The sequence below is a fragment of the Homo sapiens genome, chromosome 4 (assembly GCF_000001405.40).
Source record: "Homo sapiens chromosome 4, GRCh38.p14 Primary Assembly".
Taxonomy (NCBI): Eukaryota; Metazoa; Chordata; class Mammalia; order Primates; family Hominidae; genus Homo; species Homo sapiens.
In genome coordinates, this window is record NC_000004.12 from 108,890,607 (window position 1) to 108,914,436 (window position 23,830).

A 23,830-nucleotide genomic window follows, 5' to 3' on the forward strand; every position below is an offset into this window, starting at 1 on the left:
CTCTGTCTCATGAATATGCTAGAAGGAAAAAGAAAAGGTCATTTGAGACTGTCAAGAAAATAGAAACAGCCACAGGAGGGAGGCACATATTGGGATTTCCTCAGCTGTCTCATCTGTACAAATGCTCAAGGAGCTCCGGGGGCCCATTTCCTTGTTCTAGATTCCAGAAGCTGCTCATCAATCTCTTTTAGAGACAGACATAAGGCCTCAGGCCTCTGTACACGGGCCACTTGCCCAGCTCCCTCAATTTCTCTCCCCTCTGCCCATGGCTGGCTTTGCCTCAAAGACCCCTTCACCAACCAGCCTAGACACATCAGACGCATGCCCCTCATGCACACATCTTACTCCGTAGCATCATGCTCTGTTCATGTCCACCGCAGCTCACTTTCTAATTGGCTATTTATGTTCCCTGCCTATTCATTGTCTATCTCTCTGTTAGACAGTTAGCTACATGTGAGCAGATTCTGGATCTATTTTTATTCAGTTCCCGGGCCCATAGTATATGCTCAATACATGTAAGGTGAACGAATGAACAGATCTCAAAAAGAATTTTTAAACAGGTTAATTGTCAAGGATCAAAATGTAAATTCTTCAGGAAGGGGGAAAAAAACGCTTATGAAAGAGAAGGAAATAGCAAATTAGCTTGTTAAGTAAACCGATAGTTATGTGAGTTTCTTTGACATCTATAATTGCTATTCCTCCTGTTGAAAATTAAAATGTAACTAAACATAAAAAACAAGAAGACCCTAATACTGTCTTACTGTAGAATGAGACTGATTTCTCTTGCCAATCATTAATATCCAACTGAGTTCCAAATGGGAAGCAACATGTCCAATAAAAAGAATATTTATTTCTAGTAAATTAAGTCTGAAAGCCATCAGTACCAATGAATCAGGTTTGCAATATTTTATACAATAATATCTTTGAATTCATAAAAGCAATTTTGACTCTACAAAGTTCCTACTTTATCTCATTTAAACCTCACAAAACTCTCATGAAATAAAGGGGGCAGATATTACTATTTCCATTTAATAAACAAGGATATCAAAGCAGCTAGAGGTTAAATGAATTTGGGGCTTCCTAAATTCTACTGCCGTGTTTTAGGTTTTTTTTTTTTAATACAAAAAAATTGTTGGCTTATTTCATTTTGACAACAGGACATAAAGGTTGTAGTAAACTTGTAAATACAAAGAAGCTGCTTGTATTAATTGTAGTTGAATTCAATATCTTAATGAAAAGCATCCAGATAATCCCTAATGTGAATAAAGACTAGATTTAGTTCTCATAAAAAGTGGATGGAAAGAAAAAGACAGTTTCTTGAAAGGCCAATATATTTGTGGAAATCTGAGCAGTTCCATTTGATGGACAACTAAGGGTGATTTTTTTTTTCTTTTTTAAAGACTTAGAACTGTGAAATCTCATGGAATTTTTATAACTTTTAAGTGGTAACATGACTGCTGGAAGACAGTCATAAGTTAAACATTTTAAAGGATAATGCTGAAATAAAACAGTGTGTGTTTATAATCCTCCTTCCCCACAAAGTAAAAATGAATACTGGATTAAAGTAGGGGGAAAAACCCCAACTGCGTCTTAAGTATACTCTTAGCTTCATAAGTCAGTTGGCTTGGAAATAAAAATTTCTACAGGGTAAGTTATAGATGAGGAAATACTATGAGAAGATACTTGAGATAAATGAATTTGACTTTACTATGTTTCATTCAAGCACAGTTTCCATTTTTGTTTGTGATTATTTTCAAAACAACACTCAGATAATTATATGTGTGTGTTAATAAGGCACATGTGGATATATGAAGTGAATGTAGTGACTTATTTTTATCAGTCATTAATTCATTCAACAAATACTTAGCAAGCACTAATTGTGTGCCAGACATATCTATTAATAGATGCTGAGAGCTGGGAGATAACAGTGAACAATGAAGTTATAATCCTTGTCCTTGTCCTGCATTACAATGATCATTTTCTAATATATGTAGTGCAAAAATATTATTGATGGAAAGCATGAAAGGTAATTCATTTTTTTCTTTCTTTCCTTTTCTTTTTTTGAAATCTGGTGTAGAAAGAGACTGTCATGTTTGGAAAAGTCTGTGTCACTATGCATGCACAGAAGACACGATAAGCAAATGCATGGCTATCAAAGGAATTATAAAGAGTGCTGTGGAGAATATAGCAGGTGACCTACCTAATCCAGAGGAGACTGAAGGCTGCTCCAGGGAAATGACTTATAAATTAAGTTTACAGCGGACTGAAGAATGAGTAATATTAGAAAGTAGAGAAGTGGTGATGAGGAGTCAGGGGGCGGAGGACAGACAGCAACAGTATTCTAAATTATGGGAATGATGTGTGCTAATTAGGGAAGGCCCGGCACCAATTAGGGTGGGATAGGCCTTCAGGTGTGATTTTATGAAAAGAAGACAGTTTGGTTGGCTCCAAATATGATGTGGCTTCTGAAAAGGCTCAGAGGATGCAAGTCAAAGACGCATTTTCATACTTCATACTTCATACATGCATCTTTGCTATGTAGATGTGAAGTATGAAGATGAAGACAGTGTGAATACACATAGGAATGGAAATGGGGGAGAGGGGAGCAAAGAAAAAAAAACAGGTAATGCTAAGAAAGTGAAGGCAGAGCTTTTGAACCAACAGACAGAATTGTGAAGAGTAGAGTGATGTGGCCAAACCATTTAGTGTGCAGCACAAATACCCCATTTCGCACAGGGGAAAATAGATAAGAAATCAATTTCTACATTTATTGGTGGGGTTAACACTCCAAAGAGTGGGACATAATCCTTCAATAGTAACTCTACGCATGACTGAACTCCGTCTTTGGCAGGTTTACGCTCTTAAATCTAGGGTGTACCATGGTTGTAGGCCAGACTGTGCTGAAGCTGCTGGCCACAGAGAAAACCCAGCCTAGTGGTTTTTACAGTTCCACAGTATTTCCAGATGACCAGTCTGGAAAGGTTTAGATTACTTTACCATCCAAAGGCGCTGAGTTGAATCAAAAGGAAAAAAAAATCCTATTAAAGTCAATCAATGACGTAATTTACTACATCAATGGCAGAAAAGAAGGATTTTTTAAAATTTTTACATCTCAAACTTGGTAAACGATGAATGAGTTTCACATACTGAACACAAAGGCCATAAGAAGAGTGTTTCCAACATGCTGGAAACAAATTATATGACAGAAGCAGGAAATGTTTAAAAAACACATCAAAAATTATATTCCAATTACAGCATTCTTGGGATAAATGCTACAGGTCGGATTACATATTATACACATTACAGATTCCTATTTACAATCCCCTGTTTAGACCCATTGAAGGTTTATAGAAATAATTTCCGTTTTACCTGAAGTATTTCTTATACTTAATTTCAGCTGACTGATAAAACTTTTTGATAAAAAAAAGAATAACAATCTAGTTGATTTCAATTTCCATGTGGGAAGAAAAGCTAATATTTATTGAGAGTTTATTATGTGTGAGTCAGTATGGTAAATGATTTGCATTAATATATAAAATAAGAACAGTATTCCTTTGAGATGAACTTGGTCTTTTCAAAGAAAAAAGCTGTTTTACCATTGTAAAATTAAATTTCAAAAATTTTAATTTTACAATATGATTGAAGAAACAATTATTGGCCTACATTCCAAAAATGAAACTTTAAAAAGACATCTTTTAAGCATAAAATTCTCTACATAAATCCACATAGGCATTGTTCAGACGTAGTATAAATTTTTTTCACTTGAAAAAAACTGCCCTCGGTGTAGAATATTTCCTTTCTTTTAAGCAGAGGTTGGTAACTATGGCCAAATTCAGTTGGCCACCTGCAAGACCCAGGAGCTAAAAATGGTTTTTAAAAATCAAAATAACAATAATAATTCATGACACATGAAAATTACATGAAATTAAAATTTCAGTGTCCAGAAATAAAGTTTTATTGGAACACAGCCTACTCACTTGTTTATGTATTGTCTATGGTTGCTTTCATGCCATAACAACAGAGTTGAGTAGCTGTGACAGAGACCACATGGCCCACAAAATCTAAAATATTTATGTTCTGGTACTTTACTGACTTCTGCTTTTAAGCAAAAACAAGCAAGTTAGATGTAACACCAGGTTTATATATTTAGGATTTCAAATTTTGACTTTGAGAGTAATCAGGGTATATCATTGGTCTCATTTGTATTAAACAGATTCATGCCATATTTGATTGCAGCATGATACTTAAATTTGGCAGATAAATAAAATGGGCCTACAGCAGTGATACTCAACTGTGGGTGGCTTTGTCCCCCAGGTAACGTTTGACAATACCTGGAGACATGTTTGATTGTCACAACTTGGAGGTGCCATAGGCATCTTGTGAGTAGAGGCCAAAAATGATGCTAAACATCTGAGGGCCCCGTAACAGAGAATTATCTGGCCCCAAATGTCAATAATGCTGAGGTTGAGAAACACAGATCTATAAGAAACTGAGCCCACTCTAATTTCTAGACTCCTCGAATATGAATATAATTGCTACTTGGTGACATTAATTCATTCCTACCACACATGCCATATTTATATTAATATTTGTGGGAAGAAAAAAGATAAATTTCTTTTTATTTTGCAGCTATGTTTTTATGACTAACCATTATCCATCTGTACTGTAGTAATTTTCAAAGTGGAATAGTCTTAGTCTCAACTGTAAGGCTAAATAAATAAATCTTCATCACTCAACTACTTAGCTTGATTTAAATTAAAACCCATCTGACTTTATTCTATTTTCAATTTCTTAAAAGATCTTCTTAATCTTTAACACATAGCACAAGTGAAGTATAACATCCTTCCTCTGTCAGAGGTATCTATAAAGTATGAATCCAAGCAAAAGCTATCACGATAGACTGAGGAAAAATAAGAAGAGAGGAGGCAGAAGACAAGCCACAAGACTACTGCAGTATAAATGCTAATAATGGTTTAAAAGACCCTTTGCCCCAGGACTGAATATGAAGCCTGACAAAATACCCAGATTTAGTGGAATTTGAATTGAGGTAAATTTTCAAGACTGCATTAGAGTGTCTAATCAAGTGACATTAACTTATAATCAAACTTTTCTTTTTAAAATTATGATTTCAATGGGTTTTTGGGGGAACAGGTGGTGTTTGGTTAATGGATAAGTTCTTTAGTGGCGAGTTCCGAGATTTTGGTGCACCCATCACCCAAGCAATGTACACTATTATACCCAATGTGTAGTCTTTTATCCTCACCCCCTTTCCCATACTTTCCCCAAGTCCCCAAAGTCCATTATATATCATTCTTAAGCCTTATAATCAAACTTTTTTTTTTTTTTTTTTTTTTTTTGAGACAGAGTCTCGCTCTGTCACCCAGGCTGGAGTGCAGTGGTGCGATCTCCGCTCACTGCAAGCTCCACCTCCCAGGTTCACGCCATTCTCCTGCCTCAGCCTCCTGAGTAGCTGGGACTACAGGCACCAACCACCATGCCCAGCTAGTTTTTTTGTATTTTTTTAGTAGGGACGGGGTTTCACTGTGTTAGCCAGGATGGTCTCGATCTGCTGACCTCATGATCCACCCGCCTCAGCCTCCCAAAGTGCTGGGATTACAGGCCTGAGTCACTGTGCCCGGCCTCAAACTTGTAAATCTCATTCCAATCCTCTGACATGTTCTCTCCTGAAACTGGCACAAACTGAATCACTTTAGGGTCCCTATTTTCATATACCTGCGCATAAAGGGAGCGTCCCATTTACACATGAATAAGTGTTTTAATTCCTTGAAAGCCATATTACTGAAAACTTAGCTACACATTTTCTATAATTTTTGATATATCATTTTACTTTGAAAATATTTTAATTTGTGGATAGGAGCTTGTGGAATAATCACCTTTTATAAATCAAGTATTTAAATGTTTTCTAATCTTGGAGAATGATCTCTGACCTTTTCATATTAAGCAACTCTCACTCATCTCTCTAAAAATCCCCCATCTTCATAAACTTGAAGTATATTTCTTGCTCACATATGTACCCTTTCATGTCTTACAAAACTGTACCTTTTCGCCTGTGTCACCCTTGGGGCCGTTCTCTCCAGCGTCTCCCTGAGGAGGTGAGAAAGTGACACATGTAAAATACATTGGTGACGTCAAGCAGATAATATTTTTCATTATTTTAAGCTTTCTTTCATGAACACTACATATTAAAATCTGTTGCAAATGCTCTATAGAGCTAATGTATTTATACTTGACCAGTTGTCTGATATCAATAAAAGAAATTTTACTACAACTAACATGGCTGAACAGTTTTAAACTATTCCACAGTATTAACAGAAAACACTTATCTGTCTTCCAATGCCTTATTTGGGCACTTAAAGCCTTCTTAATTCTGTCTCTGCTCAAAGCTCCACGCAAACAAAGGCTTTCTCCTGACAGTTCCCTGAATATGCCATGGGCCTTACCAATTCTGAGGCCTTCTTCATATCATTCCTGTCACCTGGATCCCTCCCCTCTCTTTCCCTTTCCATCTGTATAAATCCTGTCCTGTCTTCAAGCATATCTCAAAATCTCCAGGGCCTCAAAGTACAGGACAGGGCCCTCAAAACCTGTGGACTGAATATTGATTTATCTGGGCCTACATGGTTTGCATTTGTGAAATGAATGTTTTATGCTTTACTAGAAAAATTTTTTAAATCATAGTTTATGCTTTTTTTGTTGTTATTTTTGAGACTTCCTATGCCTGTTCCCTCACTGACATCTCTTTTCTGCCTACAAAGCAATGCATTAGGGAAATAAGCATTCGTTTATTATCTTCCTTAAATTCTGAATTCTTCAATATAAGTCTTACAATATGTTATGTGGAAATGTTATGGACTTTGGAGCCAGGGAGACAGACCAGTTCCAGCACCTACTGGGCAAATGAGATTCTCTTTGCATCAGGTTTCTCCTGTGCAATGTAATAGAAAGGATAATTTACACAGTTATAAGAAATAAGTACTACACTGTGTGTAAAGCAACTAGGGCAGTATCTGGCACATCATAAGCTATTAATGATAACAATGCATTACTATTCACATATTCCATAGGCTGGAATGCAGTCACTTTTCTATTACTCAAAAAGTTTCTTAAAATAGGACAGAAACTATTGATCATAACTTTCTTGGGAGGGGGGAGAAAGGAAGTTGGGAAGGCAGACTTTCACTTTTTTCCTCTGTATTTTGTTTTATTCTTTCAAATAAGCATGAAGTTAGTCTGCCTGGGCATTTGTTTATGGTGACAAATACACTGCGGCAGGCCACAAGAGCCTGGGACACTTTCTCTGATGAACGCCTGGTATGGTGCTGATACTGCTCCTTTTCCCTCCTAATTTCTACACAAAAGAGTCACCCAGTGACTAATTAATTTCAGGTTAATTACCATGAACTGATTGGATGCTAAATAAATGTCCTAGTAATGTGTTATGAGGGATCTTTGATAGGCAGTTGATTTGCATGCTTTTTATAAAATTGCACAAAAATCCCTCTATTACAGAACAAAACAAACAAACCAACCTTCTTAGTAGGGAAACTGGCTCAGAGTAATTGCAAAGTGAAGGGTTTAACTGAGCTGTCCCCTCAGGAAACTGCCCTTTCCACCCACGTATTTTGCTCCCCCTCCATTAAATAAATGGTTTTTTTTCTTTACAATGTTGAAAAATACAGTTATAATTAAGAATTTTTCTTGATCTTTACATAAACTTCTTTTGGGATGAGAGGTTATAATACTGATTTGTCAGAAAGACCATATCACTTACAAAGAGCATGATGTAGTAACTTGGTAGTTTCCTACTCAGCATATTTTTCAAACACTATTAAAATAAGTAGCATGAGAACCAGGAAAATAAGTATCGTAATATGCAATCAGAGCCTAAAAATAATCAGGACAGGCCCAAGTAAGAAAAAGAGTCTAGGAGTAACTTAACACTCTGCTCTTCCTGTTTCTCTTTTTGGTTTTTATGGGAATTCTTTGTGGGCAACCTTCAGATAATTGCTGCAGGTAAACATCTGTATCCCTTTAACCTAGTGACATTAGAAGCAGTAGAGAGAGATGTGGGTGCTTGGAGAAGCATTAGAATGGCATTAGCAAGTAGGCAGACCAGATTTTGCAGGCCTAAGGATTTTTGAAACCCGTTTAAAAGCTTAAAAGCCTGACACAGAATGTTTAAATTTGCTCCCTTTCTCTTCATTATTAAATATTTGTTCTGAAGGTACATCGGCACCTTTCTCTTTATTTTTTAAAACTTTTTTTAACCCAAATTTTTGTCTATACATAAGAATCACACTATTTCCTCCTTCCACTAATTAACAGTTTGAAAAAACACAGGAGTCATATCTATATCTATATATCTATATATCTATATATCTATATACCTACCTACCTACCTATTAATCTACCCACCCACCCATCCATCCACCCATCCATTCATGCATATAGTTTAGTTTGAGTACTTCTTTGGTATGCTGGTGGTGGGGAGTAGGGAGAGAGAAATACAGGCAGAATCATTCTTACCTTTTCACCTTGTTCTCCAGGTTCTCCCTGAGCAAAAAGACAGAGATTGGGTGACATCAAATCATAAAACACCTAATTTTATTATCATTATTAAACAAAACAGATATTGAACTTACTAGGTAAATTATGCATGACATTTTCTATTTTGGCTACATGCAGTTGCTATATGAAAACAAATGATAAAATGAGTTTCCTGGAGAATTTGAGTATGAATATCAATTATCAAATGTAATCTTAATTTTTTGCTTTTATAGCACTAAATAAATGTTTTTGAAGATTATCATCCAGAAACTGGCTTTTGGAGCACTAAGGAGAATGATGGTGTGGCAATTCAATATCTTGAGAGGCTTCTTAGCCTACAATTTTTCATTCTGCTTAAACTCAGAGTTAATCAGGTGGACTAGCATGTTTTTCTGAAAATCCTTTTATTCAAAGTGTTCCCCGGTTCATAGATCATTTCCAGGGTCTAGGGTGCCAGGGTAGTTACCCAATCTGTCTTGCCCTAACATGATCATAAATAGTCCTAATCTTGAACCCCTTACAATGTCATAAACTCTCTTTAGCTTCTGGTAAAGAGCATGTTCCAGATCAGGTCTATTTTAGGAGGCACCTTAAGGAAAGACACTAGAATGGGGCAGAATTGAAGTGAGTTTAGGAATGATGTCCTTATTCAAAATGATGACCTGGATAGCATGAGGACTAAAATGCAAAATGGTGCCCTGAAGAGAATCTCATTTTCACTTTACCCAGGAAAGGACAGAGGTTGGAGCAGGAGAGTAGGAGTCCTAAAGTAAATCATATACATTATGAAAATAGTTTCCTATGAAAAGCTTGAGTGAATGTTGCCATAAGATCAGACTGCTTTGGAAAAAAAATGAAATAAGGCAATTATTGTATTTTTTTAAATTTATAACCCACTGCAGAAGTCAGTTTGGAAGCAAGACTCTTTTCTCTGGAACTCAACCTGACCCTTTGGCTTTCTGCATTTCTGGTCACCTTCACTGCTCAACACCCATCCTGATGGTCGCTAGGCAACACCAGAATAGCACTGTGAACATGCATTAAGCATTAACTCCCATTGTTTGGCTTTTTAGCATGGAGAAAGAGAGAGAAGAAGACAGGAAAACAGCTAGAGTCCCAGAAGGAATATTTTCTTTCCTCTCCTGCAGGACAAAGAACAGGTCTATAAATTTCAGGTCTGTCCTAGGCGCCTGTCAATAGCAAATGATCTGTAAAATCAGCTGACAGGCATCTGTGGGTACGAATACACACCAGCACAGCTGATGGGATTAAACATTAGTTTTGTACTTCAAGGGATGTTCACTCATCAAAGGATTTGGGATTTGGCTGCCTGCTTGATTTAAACTAAATTGTCCCCAATCTTTTTATATTTAACTGATTCAATTTTTTTAAGAAACAAAGAAGACTTGGAATAAAAAAATCTTCATTACATTTTTTCCCTATTTGGTAATTCAGACTACATCCATTTTTAAATTTTAAACATCTTTATTCTGCCTTCATCTGATTAACTGGTTATGTTGTGTAAGAGCTGGAGGTGGCCAAATCTTGGGGAAAAGCCATAGTGAATGTCATCTTTAGTAAGGCATGTAAATATAAAAATTTTAGGCAATATGGACATGACCTATGTTTTTATATACCCACTAAGTGGTAAAATGACAACAGCCATATTGGAAACATAGGCCTATTCATGTTATTTAAGTATCTCAGAATAAAGATGTTAGATGATCACATCCCATTTATTTTTCTGCATTTAATACTAATGAGAATCACAAATATAATTAATTCATTAGTAACAAAGTTCTATACTATAGCATATTATACTATTCACAAAATACCCATGTAAGTGCAACTGGTGAGATTGTTAAAAATTGTATTAAATAATAGCTTACAATTTCCTGACAATTCGTGTGTCAAATGATTCTGCTTGGCTTTATTTGTACTAACCTTAGGTCCTGGTATTCCATTCTGTCCTACTGCTCCAGGCAACCCGGGCTCACCCTCAAAATAGAAAAATAGATACTACTAAGTAAAATAGACAAAATCAATACATTACATGGATCATTAGAGGAGACAGCCATCTAATAATTCTCTAGAAATAGATAAAGAATAAGTGACTATTAGTTTAAATTCAAGTTAGCTTCCATGGTCCAAAACGCTGCATGTAATGGAGCAAGGATACAATGGGGTTAATTTCCTTTGTTCAGTCTTCTCATCATTAAGAAAACTGAGGCAACTTACCAGTGGAAATTAACATCTAGCATGTTGCTGGGTACATTGTGAACATCAAATAAATATTTTCTGAATGAGTAAAAGACAACTGAAAATATAAGACTCTCCTGGCAAAAAACTTTTAAGTGATTCATCAGCTCAGAAAAAGAAAGAATAAATCATTCTGTTCTCACATTAGACTTAAATGAACATTTACAAACCTAAATCTTGAAGAACATATACATCTTTGAACACCTACTTAATTCATTTAGACACATTTGACACAAAAGTAAACACTAAAAACAGATTTGGTTTTTCTTTCCAATTTCATTGTAAAAATAAGTAGAATAAAACATTCAGACTTATGGATCTCATTGCCATATTGAATGATAGGCTTTTGGGCAAAAGATGATGGCTATTAGGCTAGAAAAATTTCCTATTTCAGAAAGATGATGATGTATACCAGTCTTTCAAGACTCTGAACCAGCAATTGTTTTCCAAAGAGACAAAGCTCCCTGAAGTGCCCAGAAACAAGGAAAAGATACTTTGGGCCTTTATGCTTCCATGTGGCTCAAACTTACAGCAATTAGAATTCTGTTCTCATTTTAAAACATTCTGAAAGCCCTTCACTGTGTGCCCCAATTACTGGACAACTTTCTTCTTTCCATTGAGGCTAGTAAAGTTGCTCTTTGGTTGATTTTTAAAAAATAGACTTTATTGTTAGAGCAGTTTTAGGTTCACTGCAAACTTAATTGATTTTTGAGAATGTTTTCTAAGTCACCTGGAGGGCAAGAATTCTGTCACTTTTATATTTGTGTTCTCAGCTTCAAAAACATATATATTAATAATAATAGTAACATTTCTTAAGTGCCAGGATCTTTATATTCATTGACTCAATTCTCATAAATTCCTATGAGGTAGGTACTATTTTTATCTCTATTTTACAGGCAAAGAAACTAAGGCACAGAGAAGTTAAGTAATTTGTCCAGATTTACACAACTACAGTCAGGACTTGAACCTTCATGGTTTAAGAAGGTATGCTCTTAACACCATGTTACACTGATAAGTGAACGAATGTATCTAGGAATTGGGAGAGAGTAGATGATGAATATTTCTATCTTAATTATTATTTGGTTTATAGTCCCACTTATAAATGACTGTCAGAATGTGTAGAAACCTGAATTAAATATAACCTACATAGAGATGATTTTTAAATATCTACCAGATAAACTAAGCAATGTGAAGCTTGTAGTGTCTAGAATAGCGAAAAGTATTTTACTATTATAGTGGATTATTAAAATTGCTAAAGTCTTAACCTCCTGGAAAAAAATTCTGCTTCCTATATAAAGTCACACTGTAATTGTAACTCTTGCACTTTCCTTGGTAAAATGGGAAAAAATGTTGACTTAGAATAATGATGGTCATTATGGGAAGATTTTGATATGCCATTTGTACATAACAAAGGATAAGAACTTGGAAACAGAATACACCCTGAAAAAGGAGTATCATTTACTGTGCAACGAGAAAAAGACCTATGGAGTCTGCTTGCTTCAAAGAATCCACAACAGGAAGCACTAATATCATAACTCATGGTTTCATGCAAATAAGAGATGCCGCCAGGAAACAATACAAACATTGTTTAGACTTTCAAAGAATAACCATGGTAGCCAGAGTTTTTTAAAAAATAAATGGTTAAGCCCCTGGAACCGGACAAAATTCATGCTGAGATTTTGAAGCAAGGAAGAGAAATGTTGCTTAGGTATCTGCATAACATTCTCCTTAATATATGAACATTGAGGGATGAAAGTTTGATCTCCTTTTTTTCTTTGATTTTTTATGTTGCCAATCTTTAACATAAAAGGCAGCAAAAAATTGTACCTGTAATCCCCATCACTCTATAATAATTGTTTTCATTTTGTCCTGTCTCCTTCTGGTCTTTGATATTTATGGTTACATAGTTTCAAGCAATTGTAAACATATTGCATAGCTTGATGTTCTGATTTTTTAAATCTTTATACGCACATTTGTTTTCACACAGTATTTGTGAACACTGTCTTGTGAATAGTTTAATCATCTATCAAAGTCAGGTGTGACCACTTGTTTAATCAGTCCCACATTGTTGAATACTCATGTTCTTCCAATTTTTACTATTAAAGATAAACTAAAATAAATACCTCTGTAAATATACTCATTTTTCTGTCAAATAATTTAATTATGATTAATTATCTAAACTTGTTTTATTAGTCAATGGAAACATTTTATGGCACTAACTGCATATTTCTAAATTGCTTTCTAAAAGAGTTCTGAGTTTTATTTGCTTTTATAGGCACTTCAAAAAAATTTTATAGGCATTGCTTTTATAGGCATCCACTCTGTGTTACTTTTTCACAACTTCTTACAACAATGGTTTTTCACAACAGCATTGAATATCACAATTTTAATTATTTTTGTAGCCATTTTAATAAGCACAACTGAGAGCTTACTGTTGTTCAGTTTTAAATTTTTCACTTGTAAGCTTAAATATTTTCTGATGGGTTCATAATTTAAGTAGGTATTCACAAAATTTTACAGCTGAAAAGTGAATAAAGCTAGAGGAAAAAATGACTGAGAGCATTTTACCCTTATAATAGTTACGTCACGAAACACATACTCCAAGTTAGATTAAAGGACTACAGAGCATTCTGTTACTGTCCACACTTAGTTTCCCAGGTTCTGTGAAAAGAATATAAACGATAAACCACTGTACAAGTCTGAGTTTCATAGCCAAGCTATAGGAATCTGTAGGTGCTGATTATTCAACTGACAGTGAAAATTTACTATACGTTCTACTCTGGACTGAATGTTTCCTGAGACATAAAGATAAAATAGACATGACAGGTGCCTGTGCCCAAAGAGCTTATTTTTGAGTGGGGAAAATATATACATACATGTATACATATACACATATACATATACACATTAGGTGGCATCTAATTGAGTTCATGAAACATTTTTAGGGGCAAAGTTTTCTTACACTTCATGAAGTAAGAAGCATAATAAATAGAAAACAACAAGAAGTCTTGCTGAGGAATAAAGCATACATCTTATATTGTATTAATGTATTTTAATATATCAGGACAAAAATTATCATGAGTCCTCTAAATAAAGTTGTAATGATGTTACACTATTACATAATAGTGAACATGTACATATACAGAAAAATATATCAGAAAGGTACAAACAAAAAAAATGGGAACCAGGTTGTGTGTGTGTATGTGGGTGGGGGGAGCTGGTCTCATGTTTGTGGCATAATCTATCCATCTATTTCTGAACACATTTCATACTTAAAACACTGAGGGCATTCCATAGATGGTAATGAAGAAAAACAGCAGCTAACATCTTAACCACAGGTAGATTAATGGGGTTTTGTCTACTATACTTTAAATTTAAAGGCTATTCCCAGTATGACCATTCCAAAATGGCCATTTCCATTGTAAGCTGAAAACAAGTTGGACTGACTTTTAAGAAGGATGGCTTGCTGCTTTCATTTTTTTTTTAAAAAAACAACTCTTTTAGAACTCTAATGTAAAACATCACTCAAGGCCATACAATTATTTCAGGTACTGTCATTCAAGGGCAACTTGAATGAGTAGTTAAGGATAAAAAGAAATGCGGTTTTCTTACAAATATTGAGTGCTCAAAGGAAGTAGGTCATCTAGCAGTAATATTGTTCATCATCACTTCAATCACGATAGTCTTCCTTTCTGGAAATTGGAATGAGAATGGAATGGACCTATACGTTATACCTGGAAAATGAGCAGATTCTAAACCTGTGTTGTCCAATTGGTACCACTAGCCACAGGCAACTATGGAGCAGTGGAAATGTGGCTAGTCCTAATGGAGATGGACGTAAGTGCAAAATACAATTTTAAAGATTTAGTAGGAAAAAAATGAAAAAATATCTCACTAAAAATGTGAATATTATTATTCTTGAAATATTAATTCATATCATGTTAAAATGATAATTTTGAATAGATAGAGTTTAAAAACTATATTATTAAAAATAGTGGGTGCAGCACACCAGCACGGCACATGTATACATACGTAACTAACCTGCACAATGTGCACATGTACCCTAAAACTTAAAGTATAATAATAAAAAAATAAAAATAAAAATAATAATAATAATAATATTACTTGTTTCTTTTTACCTTTTTTCAATGTGGTTAACAGAAAATTAAAAATTACATATGCAGTTTGTATTTGAGGTTTGCATTATATTTCTGTTTCTATTGAGCATTGGTTTAAACTATAAAATTATTTAATTATTAGAAGACATCATGAACCAAAAGCCTTTAAAACCAAGGAAGGAGTACTATCAGTATTAAAGCAAGTCAACATACAGCAAGACTTCAGAATGGAGACTCCACTCCATTGCATATGCAGTTAAAATGCACCAGAGAACTCTGCCAAGCTGGAGCAGTATGTCGGGGGGGGGTGCGGGGGGAGGCGTGGAGAGACTAGAAGCAAGCTCTGGCTCGGGACAGAGTGGCTTTTGGAGGGTCCAGGAGATCAAGTTCTTGTGTGTAACATGGCACAGCCACAGCTGGTCTCTGTACTGTCTGTACGGTAAGCCAGTGGTTAGAGGCTGACTCTAGGGACCAACTAACGGAGTTCTTTGCCACCCACCAGCTTCCAACATTCTCTTAAAAGCAAGTCAGGCATAGAGCTCCTTCACTCAGTTCTCTGCAAGCCTGTCCCATCTCATTCAGAATAAGAGCCGACATCCTTACAATGGCCCCAGCCCCACATGATCTGACCCCTGCTGCTCCTCTGACCTCCCTTCTGCTGCCCCCTCACATACTCCAGCCACACTGAACCCCGCCCCCACCTTGCTCCAGTGTGGAAAGCAGCCACCTGCCCAGGGCCTTTGCACCTAGGCGTTCTCTAACGGACCTCCTATGTTTTTTCCTCGGATAGCTATAGGATTGCTCTCTCACCTCCTTTAACTTTGGATCAAATATCTCCTTACTACAGGGGTTACCCCTGAGTTCCCCCCACTCCCCTAACCACACCACCACTCCCTATAAAGGCATATGCCTGTGCCTTTCTCTATTATACCAACTGCCGCCTAAGATACAACCTTGTGTTTCTTTTCTGTCTTCTGCCATTAGGACTTTCAGGTTTAGCAAACAAAAATATAGGAGACTGAGTTAAATTTAAATTTCAGATAAATAATGAATCATATTTTAGTTAAATATATTCCAAATATTAAATGGTACGTACTCACATTAGAAATTCTCAGTTGGTATGTGAAATTCAAATTTAATAGGGCATCTTATATTTTATCTGACAACCCTATTTTCCACTCCCACATCCCCATCACCACTAGTCTATGAGCTCCTTGGGCAGAGAACTTGGTCTATTTTGCTCATTACTCTTTCACAGTGCCTATTAAAACCACTCATACATAATAGCTGTTCAGTACATCAGTGTTAGAGGAATGAATGAATATAGGAGAATCAAATGCATTAAGCCTACATGAAGATGTGAAGCACTGAACAGGCCAGGTAGAAAACGAGACAGCAAGGCTGCCCAACTGGGAGCTTGGAAAATAATATAACTGTCATGGCAAGGGATGGCTCTGTCTCAGGAACCGCAAGGCAGCTGTCACGGGAAAAGAGAAGGGAGCAAGGAAAAGATGGGAGAAATGTTAACCCTGCAGTGGCACACCTCCAAGTCATGCCCAGTTCAGTCCGAATCACTAGGATTGATGGACACAGGCACAGCATGGGGTGGAGTGAAGCGAGGCGAGTGCGAGTTAGAAGAGGAGTCTGTGAAGGGCAGGGTGACAGGAATGAGAACTTTAATGGCTTCCAAGAAAAACCCTCCAGGACTCTGTTGGGGGAAGAGTGTTTACCTAGAGGACTAAAGGCTCCAACAATTCATCCTGTGGGTCCAGAGCCTGGGGCATTGCCGACATTTCCATGTACTGCTCATCTCTTCTGTCTGCTTCTTCTTCCTTCACCCCCAGTGCCTCAGGTGAGGGGCGAGAAGTAGCTGGGACGATGCTGGTTCTATAAATTTTCATGTCATCTAAAGTTCCCCAAAGACCCTCTCAGAATTTACACAAGTGTCATCATTTACTCCATGAACTCACTAACATCTGCTTTTCCCTAAGCAGGAGCACTCACAAAACAGTGAAATATTTTAGTGAAAGGAGCCAAGCCAGTCATTCTTAACAGAGGAAGAAACACATTCAGAGAGAGGAAGTAACTTTTCCAGAGACAAAAAGCCACAAAGAGGTAGATGTGAGATTAAAACCCAGGTCTTCTGATTCCTCATCTTGTGTTTCTTCTATTGAAGCAGCTTGTGTCTAAAAATCTCATTCAATTTTATCGTTTCTTTTCTGTTTAATTTTCACATAAAATAGTAAAGTGGCTTTAGGACACTAATACCAGCCTAATATCATAATACCAGCTGTTCCACATAATAGCTGTTCAGTACACTGGTGTTAGATGTACTGAACTTCCAGTTCTGACAAAGAACAATTTGCTTATGCTTCCATGGGGCTGTTTTTCTCTTGTAAAGTGTGTGGGGCTGAATCAAATATTTGCTTTCTTCCAACTCTAAAGGAGTAAGATTTATTATTATTGCTAGTTGTTGTTGCTGCTCTTGTTGTTGTTGGACTAAAGACGTTACCTGTTCATTCTTTATTTCTTAGAGATCTGACTAAATTTGGCTCAAGTCTAAGACTTGCTTTTTCCAGCCCCCTGCTCAAGCCTTGCATCTATACATGTCTCTGCTTTGCCCCATACCAATTCAGGTGGTTCAGTCAATTCTTCACCAGTTTCCTCAAGAATTCCTCTCTGCAGGCATTTTGTGAATTCAAGATTCACTATTTGGTACTCTCAGGAAGGCGTCATCACTGAGCTGAGTCTGTCTTCATCTTACTGGCTTCTCCTCTCTCCCTCTTCCACCTCACTGTCCTCTTTCTTCCCTCCCTCCTAGAACATCCTAGGAAATCGGCTTCTCTCTGTGTGTAGCAGTTCAGTAGTCTTTAGCTCCTACTTGCATCCCCAATCCCTGATTCTTTTTCTTTATCATTCCGGGAAGCAGAGGAAGCTGTGTAACACGCAAAAGTAAAAAGAGAAAACCCCTAGCCTGGACTATTAGGTTTGCTTATGCATCAGAGAACTGGCATCCCTACTGCGTTATCTAAACAGCAAACTCCCTCCCTAAAATTAGAACCGCATAACCACCCAATGGGCTCATCTTGCCCGCTGCCCAGACAGAGCCAATTTATCAAGACAAGGGAATTGCAATGGAGAAAGAGTAATTCACACAGAGGCGGCTGTGCAGGAGACCAGAGTTTTATTATTACTCAAATCAGTCTCCCCAAAAACTTGGAGATCAGAGTTTTTAAGGATAATTTGGTGGGTAGGGGGCCAGTGAATTGGAAGTACTGATTGGTTGGTTCAGAGATGATATCATAGGGAGTGGAAGATGTTCTCTTATGCTAAGTCAGTTCCTGGGTGAGGGCCACAGAACTGGTTGGCAGGTCGAGGTGGGGCCATCCGGTTAGACATGCAAAAACCTGAAAAGACATCTCAAAAGGCCAATCTTAGGTTCACAATAGTGATGTAAGTTGCAAATCTTATGACCTCCGGAATAACGGCTGGTAACATTTAGTATTCCAGCCCCTCTCATCCGTACTTGGTGGCTGGTGGCCTTTCATTCATTTTACAAGAACAGTTTAGCTTTTGGGAAGGGTTATTATTTAAACTATAACTAAAATCCAAGACTAGTTCAACCTACGCCCAGGAATGGACAAGGACAGTTTAGAGGTTAAAAGCAAGATGGAGTTGGTTGAGTCTGGTATCTTTCACTGTCATAATTTCCTTAGTTATAATTTTGCAAAGGCAGTTTCAATCTCTTTGTCCACATTGGTAATGTGAATACTAAATAGTAGAAAAGTAGACAAGTATATCAGCCAGGAACTTAATACAAATACCCTCTTTTAGGTAATTTGCTGAAATGGGTCTTAAACTGTTTAATAACTAAATTTAACCTGGTGACCAAACCTTCCTTATGCTTTTTAAAAAATTACACATGTCTAAAAATGATAAATAAGAAAACATGTTAGTTGTATCAATAATATAATAGTATGAGGTGTTTCAGAAATAAGTCTGCTAGTTAACACTTTTAATCTTAGATTTTCATATTGTTCATGTAGACAGAAATATCTACAACACAATTTGAACAAAGGAAATGTAATGCAGAGAGATAGTTAGAAGTTTGTGGGGAGATCACGAAAGATAGCTAAATTGACTTTATTCGGGTGAAATTTACATAAATGAGAGGAATTATTTGCCTTGAGGAAACTCACAAAATCTGAAGGTCTAAGCAGGAGTATGCACGGTCACACAGATACTCCCCCATTCCACTCCCTGCCTGATAATTTCCTCCTTTCTCTTCCCATCCTCTTTGTCTCTCCAGCCCTAGTTCTCTCTAGGAGGTGCCTTGGGGATTACATGTGAACACCACAGCCTCCAAGCCCTGCTCATAGCTCCTCGTCAACAGTGCTGCACGGCCACCCAGGGGCTTAGCGGTGCACGTGCCAGCAGTATGGTCCACTCTTTCTGAATACATATCTGGGGAGGGCCCATTACTAACCCTGGAAGCTGACTTAAGGAAATACCTTTATTTTTTCACCTGGTTCCCTTAAGTTTCCATGACTTGTAACATAATGTGTCCTTGAAAATATATCCATTTTTAAAGTCTTAAAACCCAGCTAATTCCATATTTCCTAAAGTATAGTTCTTAAAGAAACTGTGTATAGTTTGAATGATAAATTATTCTTTCTCTTGGAAAGAGAATGTGTTTAATTATTAATAGAAATTTTAAATGTTTATGTCCACGTGGAAAAATTCTAAAGGTCAATGAAGAGAATGAGATAATACTTCTTACTGATACTCACTTGGACACCTAAGAGGTTTCTGAATCATTGAGGTATTAATGCCTCCAATTCAAAGAGGAAAACAATCTACCCTTATTTAACAGTCTTTTAACAGACAGTTATATGTATTACTTTCTTTATCTTTTCTGATTAAACTTAGAGGTAAACATTATAATCCCTATTTGAAAAATGAGGAAACTAAGGCTCAGAGAAGGTAAGCAATTTGTCCAAGGTCATACAAACACTGAGCGGCAAAGCTAGGGTTTTCTGAATTTAAAAATCCACACTCTCGACCACTACTATGCAGTGGAAGCATACTGCCTGGCTTTTAAGCTCTACTCTGTCACTAACACCTGGGTGACCTTGGGCTTCTTTTACTCTTTCTGCACCTCAGTTTCCTCATTAAGAAAATGGAGATAATCATAGTGCCTATTTCATAGAATTGCTATAAGGACTGAATGAGCTAAGATGCCTATAACATTTAGGATGCTGCCCAGCAGTTAATAAACACTGGATACATTTTAGTAATTATGATATACTGCTTCTATTCTCTGCACTAGGCAGAGAAGACAGAGAAGAGAAACCTGAAAGGAATTCAGTTTCTCATAAACTAATCCCACTGATGCTGTCTCACAGTTGGATCATGGCTACCCCTTGGCAATGTGGCCTGGTGTCAAATAAATGGAACGGGGTAGATTTCACCCGTTATGGTTTTGACAATAAATTATTACATTGCAGCCTTATTTTTAATACAAATCTCAAAATCAAGAGACCTAATGATACAAAAACAGGGTGTGTGGTTTATATTGATTTAATATCTTACTGGTCAGAAATTTTAAGGAAAAGCTGTCCATGATGAATACAAAACCCTATAGTGATCAATGATATCAATAATATAGTGTTTTAGGAACAGAATTCTAAGACCAAGGCTATCTGTAGTATAAATTGTAAGCATTGCAACATGGTGATAGCTTCTCTTCTTTTGCCAACTCCTGTTTACACTGGGAACCTCACTGAAAGTCTCCGATTCAGGGAAGTGCTCTTACTCAGCCCTTTGTACCAGGCCAGGGAGCCCTGTGCTTTTCTGTTATAATACTTCGCAATACTCTATAGATTTTTCATATAATTGTTCATTTAATCTTCATATAATTGTTCATTTAATCCCCCTACTACCCATTAGCCTAGAAATTCCATGAGGCAGAGACAGCTGTAAACTCAGTGTTCAGTTGGTGCCTCACACTTAGTGAGGGCTAAATAAATATTTGTTCAATGAATGACTGAGGAAATTAATACGTTAATCAATGAGTACATTTAAGGGAAATTTCTTTAAAAAGCTTTTCCCAATTATGGATACAATTTAATCAGATGTAATATGTCAGTATTTTTGTGATTTCTTCTATAAAATGCAGTGTGTTTTACATTAAAATAGAAAATAGTGGATTTCATGATGCCATAATTCATTAATAAACATTTGCTTCGCTGTTTTTTTTTTTTTTTTTTGCAACAGCAAGTGAGGAGCTTTACTTCCTCAGCTACCCCTATTCTCTCAGCAATCCCAATCGTTCAACTGTTTATTCTTCCTTCTCCCAATATTTTCATTCGCTACAATAATAACTGGTATCAAACTTTATAGTAACATGCCTAAATAAAGTCGGGAGAAAGTGGTTTTAAAGAAAATCTTACTTATTTTATTTCAAGCCAGCAGGAAAAAACTTCCTTCAACTAACTTTTTGTTTCCCCCTAAAGAAACCCAAAAATAATTACATGAAGAAAAGAAATATCTTGTGTTCTGCTTAACAAGTAAAATTGAGTGAAAAATGTCTTTAAGAGTAGAGTAGCCTTGTGTATAAAAATGGCTGAGAATGTATAAATCATTCCCAGGAATGGATGAAGTTATTTGACTTTATGAAATATCTGTAATAGGAAATGATGGTGCTTCTTTTAGAAGAAAAGCATTCATCCTCTTATTATAGTTACTAGAGGAAAATGGTCACGTACTCTTGGAATTCTAATCTATACAATTATTAATGTTAAAAAACTGAAAAATTAAAAAATATAATTCTCACTTTTAACACAAAAAAGATTGAATGGTTGTAAGATACTTTCCTTGAACTACTAACTAATCTGGAATCATCAATCAATCACTTAATTTAGTCTCAATATCTTTTCTTAAAGTTTAGCATTAGAAAGTCATAAACATACTGCATAATAAATTACTGGGTAAATTCTGCTAAAGGAAAATTTTAAGCTAATTAACTAGAAAACAAAAACAGCCCTACAACATGTTGAAAACTTTCAGGAATGTAGGTGGCAGTAAATATATAAATAAATAACAAAAAAACTGTGTTTAGTGTTTATAGTAAGTGAATGGGGGATAAAAAATATTGGATTTATTGTATCATTCACTGCATAGACTTGACTCAATGGCTTAAGCTTTGAAAGTCTGAGAGCTTCAATTTATCTATTCTCTAAATATACTTACAATAAAAATGCCATTAAAAATATGCTGTGAAGATTAATGTCAGTGAAGAACTGTGTTATCCATGTATAAGAGATAAAAAGGAATTTCAAATGTCATAACTATAAACTAATTAAAATTTAATGTTACTTAAAAATCACTTAGCTATTTGTGATGGATTCATAGTTGACACACTAATATCAATTTTTAAATTTATGTTATATTTGAAGTTTTAAAAATAACAATAAACTCTAGAAAGCACTTAAAATTGCACGAATCAAGATCATCTGATATTTATCTTTTTTTTTGGAAACAATCCCTATGACTCTGCAGGCCTCAGAAAAATTCTAGCTTGCATAGACAAAAAAAATTTCATTTTAATCCTGAAAATATTCAACATTATTTTTATAGTAATCAAGAGACAAGGATGTGAATTAAGAGGAGCAAAAAATGGGACTTTGTGTGGTCTCTGTCTCTAGCTCCTTTTTTTTTTTTTTTTTTTTTTAAGACGGAGTTTTGCTCTTGTTGCCCAGGCTGGAGTGAAATGGCATGATCTTGGCTCACTTGCAACCTCCGCCTCCAGGGTTCTCCTACCTCAGCATCCCAAGTAGCTGGGATTACAGGCATGCACCACCATGCCCCGCTGATTTTGTATTTTTAGTACAGACGGGGTTTCCCCATGTTGGTCAGGCTGGTCTCGAACTCCCGACCTCAGGTGATCCACCCACCTCGGCCTCCCAAACTGTTGGGATTATAGGCGTGAGACACCGCACCCGACCTCCAGCTCCTCTTTCATGGCATTTGCACAGTGTTGGGCACTAACTGCTATTCAAATAAATTGTCATAGTGATTATTTGTTCTTATGGATGCTAAGAAAGATGAAAATCAGGAAAAAGTAGAAAAATGCAGAGTTTTAATAACACCTTTTAACAGTTCAGATTTTTAAAAACCAACATCTAAGTATATAAACAAAAATTGTAGACAGCAATCTATTTTGCCAAAAAATTATTCACTATAAACATGGTTCTACTATAAAATTATTTTAAATAGCTCACATTTCTCCAGAGTATTTGAAGTAGGAACTAATTGACCAATATTCAAATATACATCACTTCATGTATGTGTGAGTGTGCGTTTGCGTGCATGCACTCATGCACACGCGCATGGTGGGGGAAAGAATAAATTATGGAGGGCAAATAAAATGTTAATTATATGTTTAAACCAACAAGATCTTCAGGAGAATTACATTATTTTTGTGTTCAATATAATTAGCCAAAGAAGAAATAGATAACATTTTATATTTTTAGGTAGGATTTGCTTTAGATCTGCCCTAACTGCTTGGTTGGTGGAAACAAGTCCAAATTATGAAAACATCAGCTTTCAGAATTGGGAACAGAGGATGCTAAAAGCTGGTTGCATGGAAACAAGACATGGGGGATGGGGGACTTTTTGTGTACTCATAGTATCTCTGAGAAACTTAGAGATAAATTGGTACAGCTTCTGCTCTCATTTTACAAATGAAGTCCCTTTGAATGCAGAGAAAAAAGGGATCCTTCAAAGGCTACACAAGAGGTGAAAGAGCACAGAGTGTTCTGATGCCAGGACAGGGCTCCTACATCAGCCCACTGGTGACTGTGCTTTCATAATAATGTGAAACA

At 36.2% G+C, this 23,830-nt stretch overlaps 1 protein-coding gene across 11 annotated transcripts in view; it reads right to left on the bottom strand.

Annotated features, from left to right (window-relative positions):
- COL25A1 (collagen type XXV alpha 1 chain) overlaps window positions 1-23,830 on the bottom strand; it is a 493,934-nt gene that overhangs the window by 81,882 nt on the left and 388,222 nt on the right. For all 11 annotated transcript variants that reach the window (NR_045756.3, XM_011532335.3, XM_011532334.3 and 8 more), the window contains 3 exons: window positions 10,513-10,566; window positions 8,548-8,574; window positions 6,061-6,105 (listed from right to left, as the gene is read on the bottom strand). Coding sequence is in view for 10 of the 11 variants with exons in the window: in XM_011532335.3 (XP_011530637.1) it covers window positions 6,061-6,105; window positions 8,548-8,574; window positions 10,513-10,566 (126 nt within the window). In the remaining variant the exon portion in view is untranslated. The remainder of the gene's footprint in view (window positions 1-6,060; window positions 6,106-8,547; window positions 8,575-10,512; window positions 10,567-23,830) is intronic.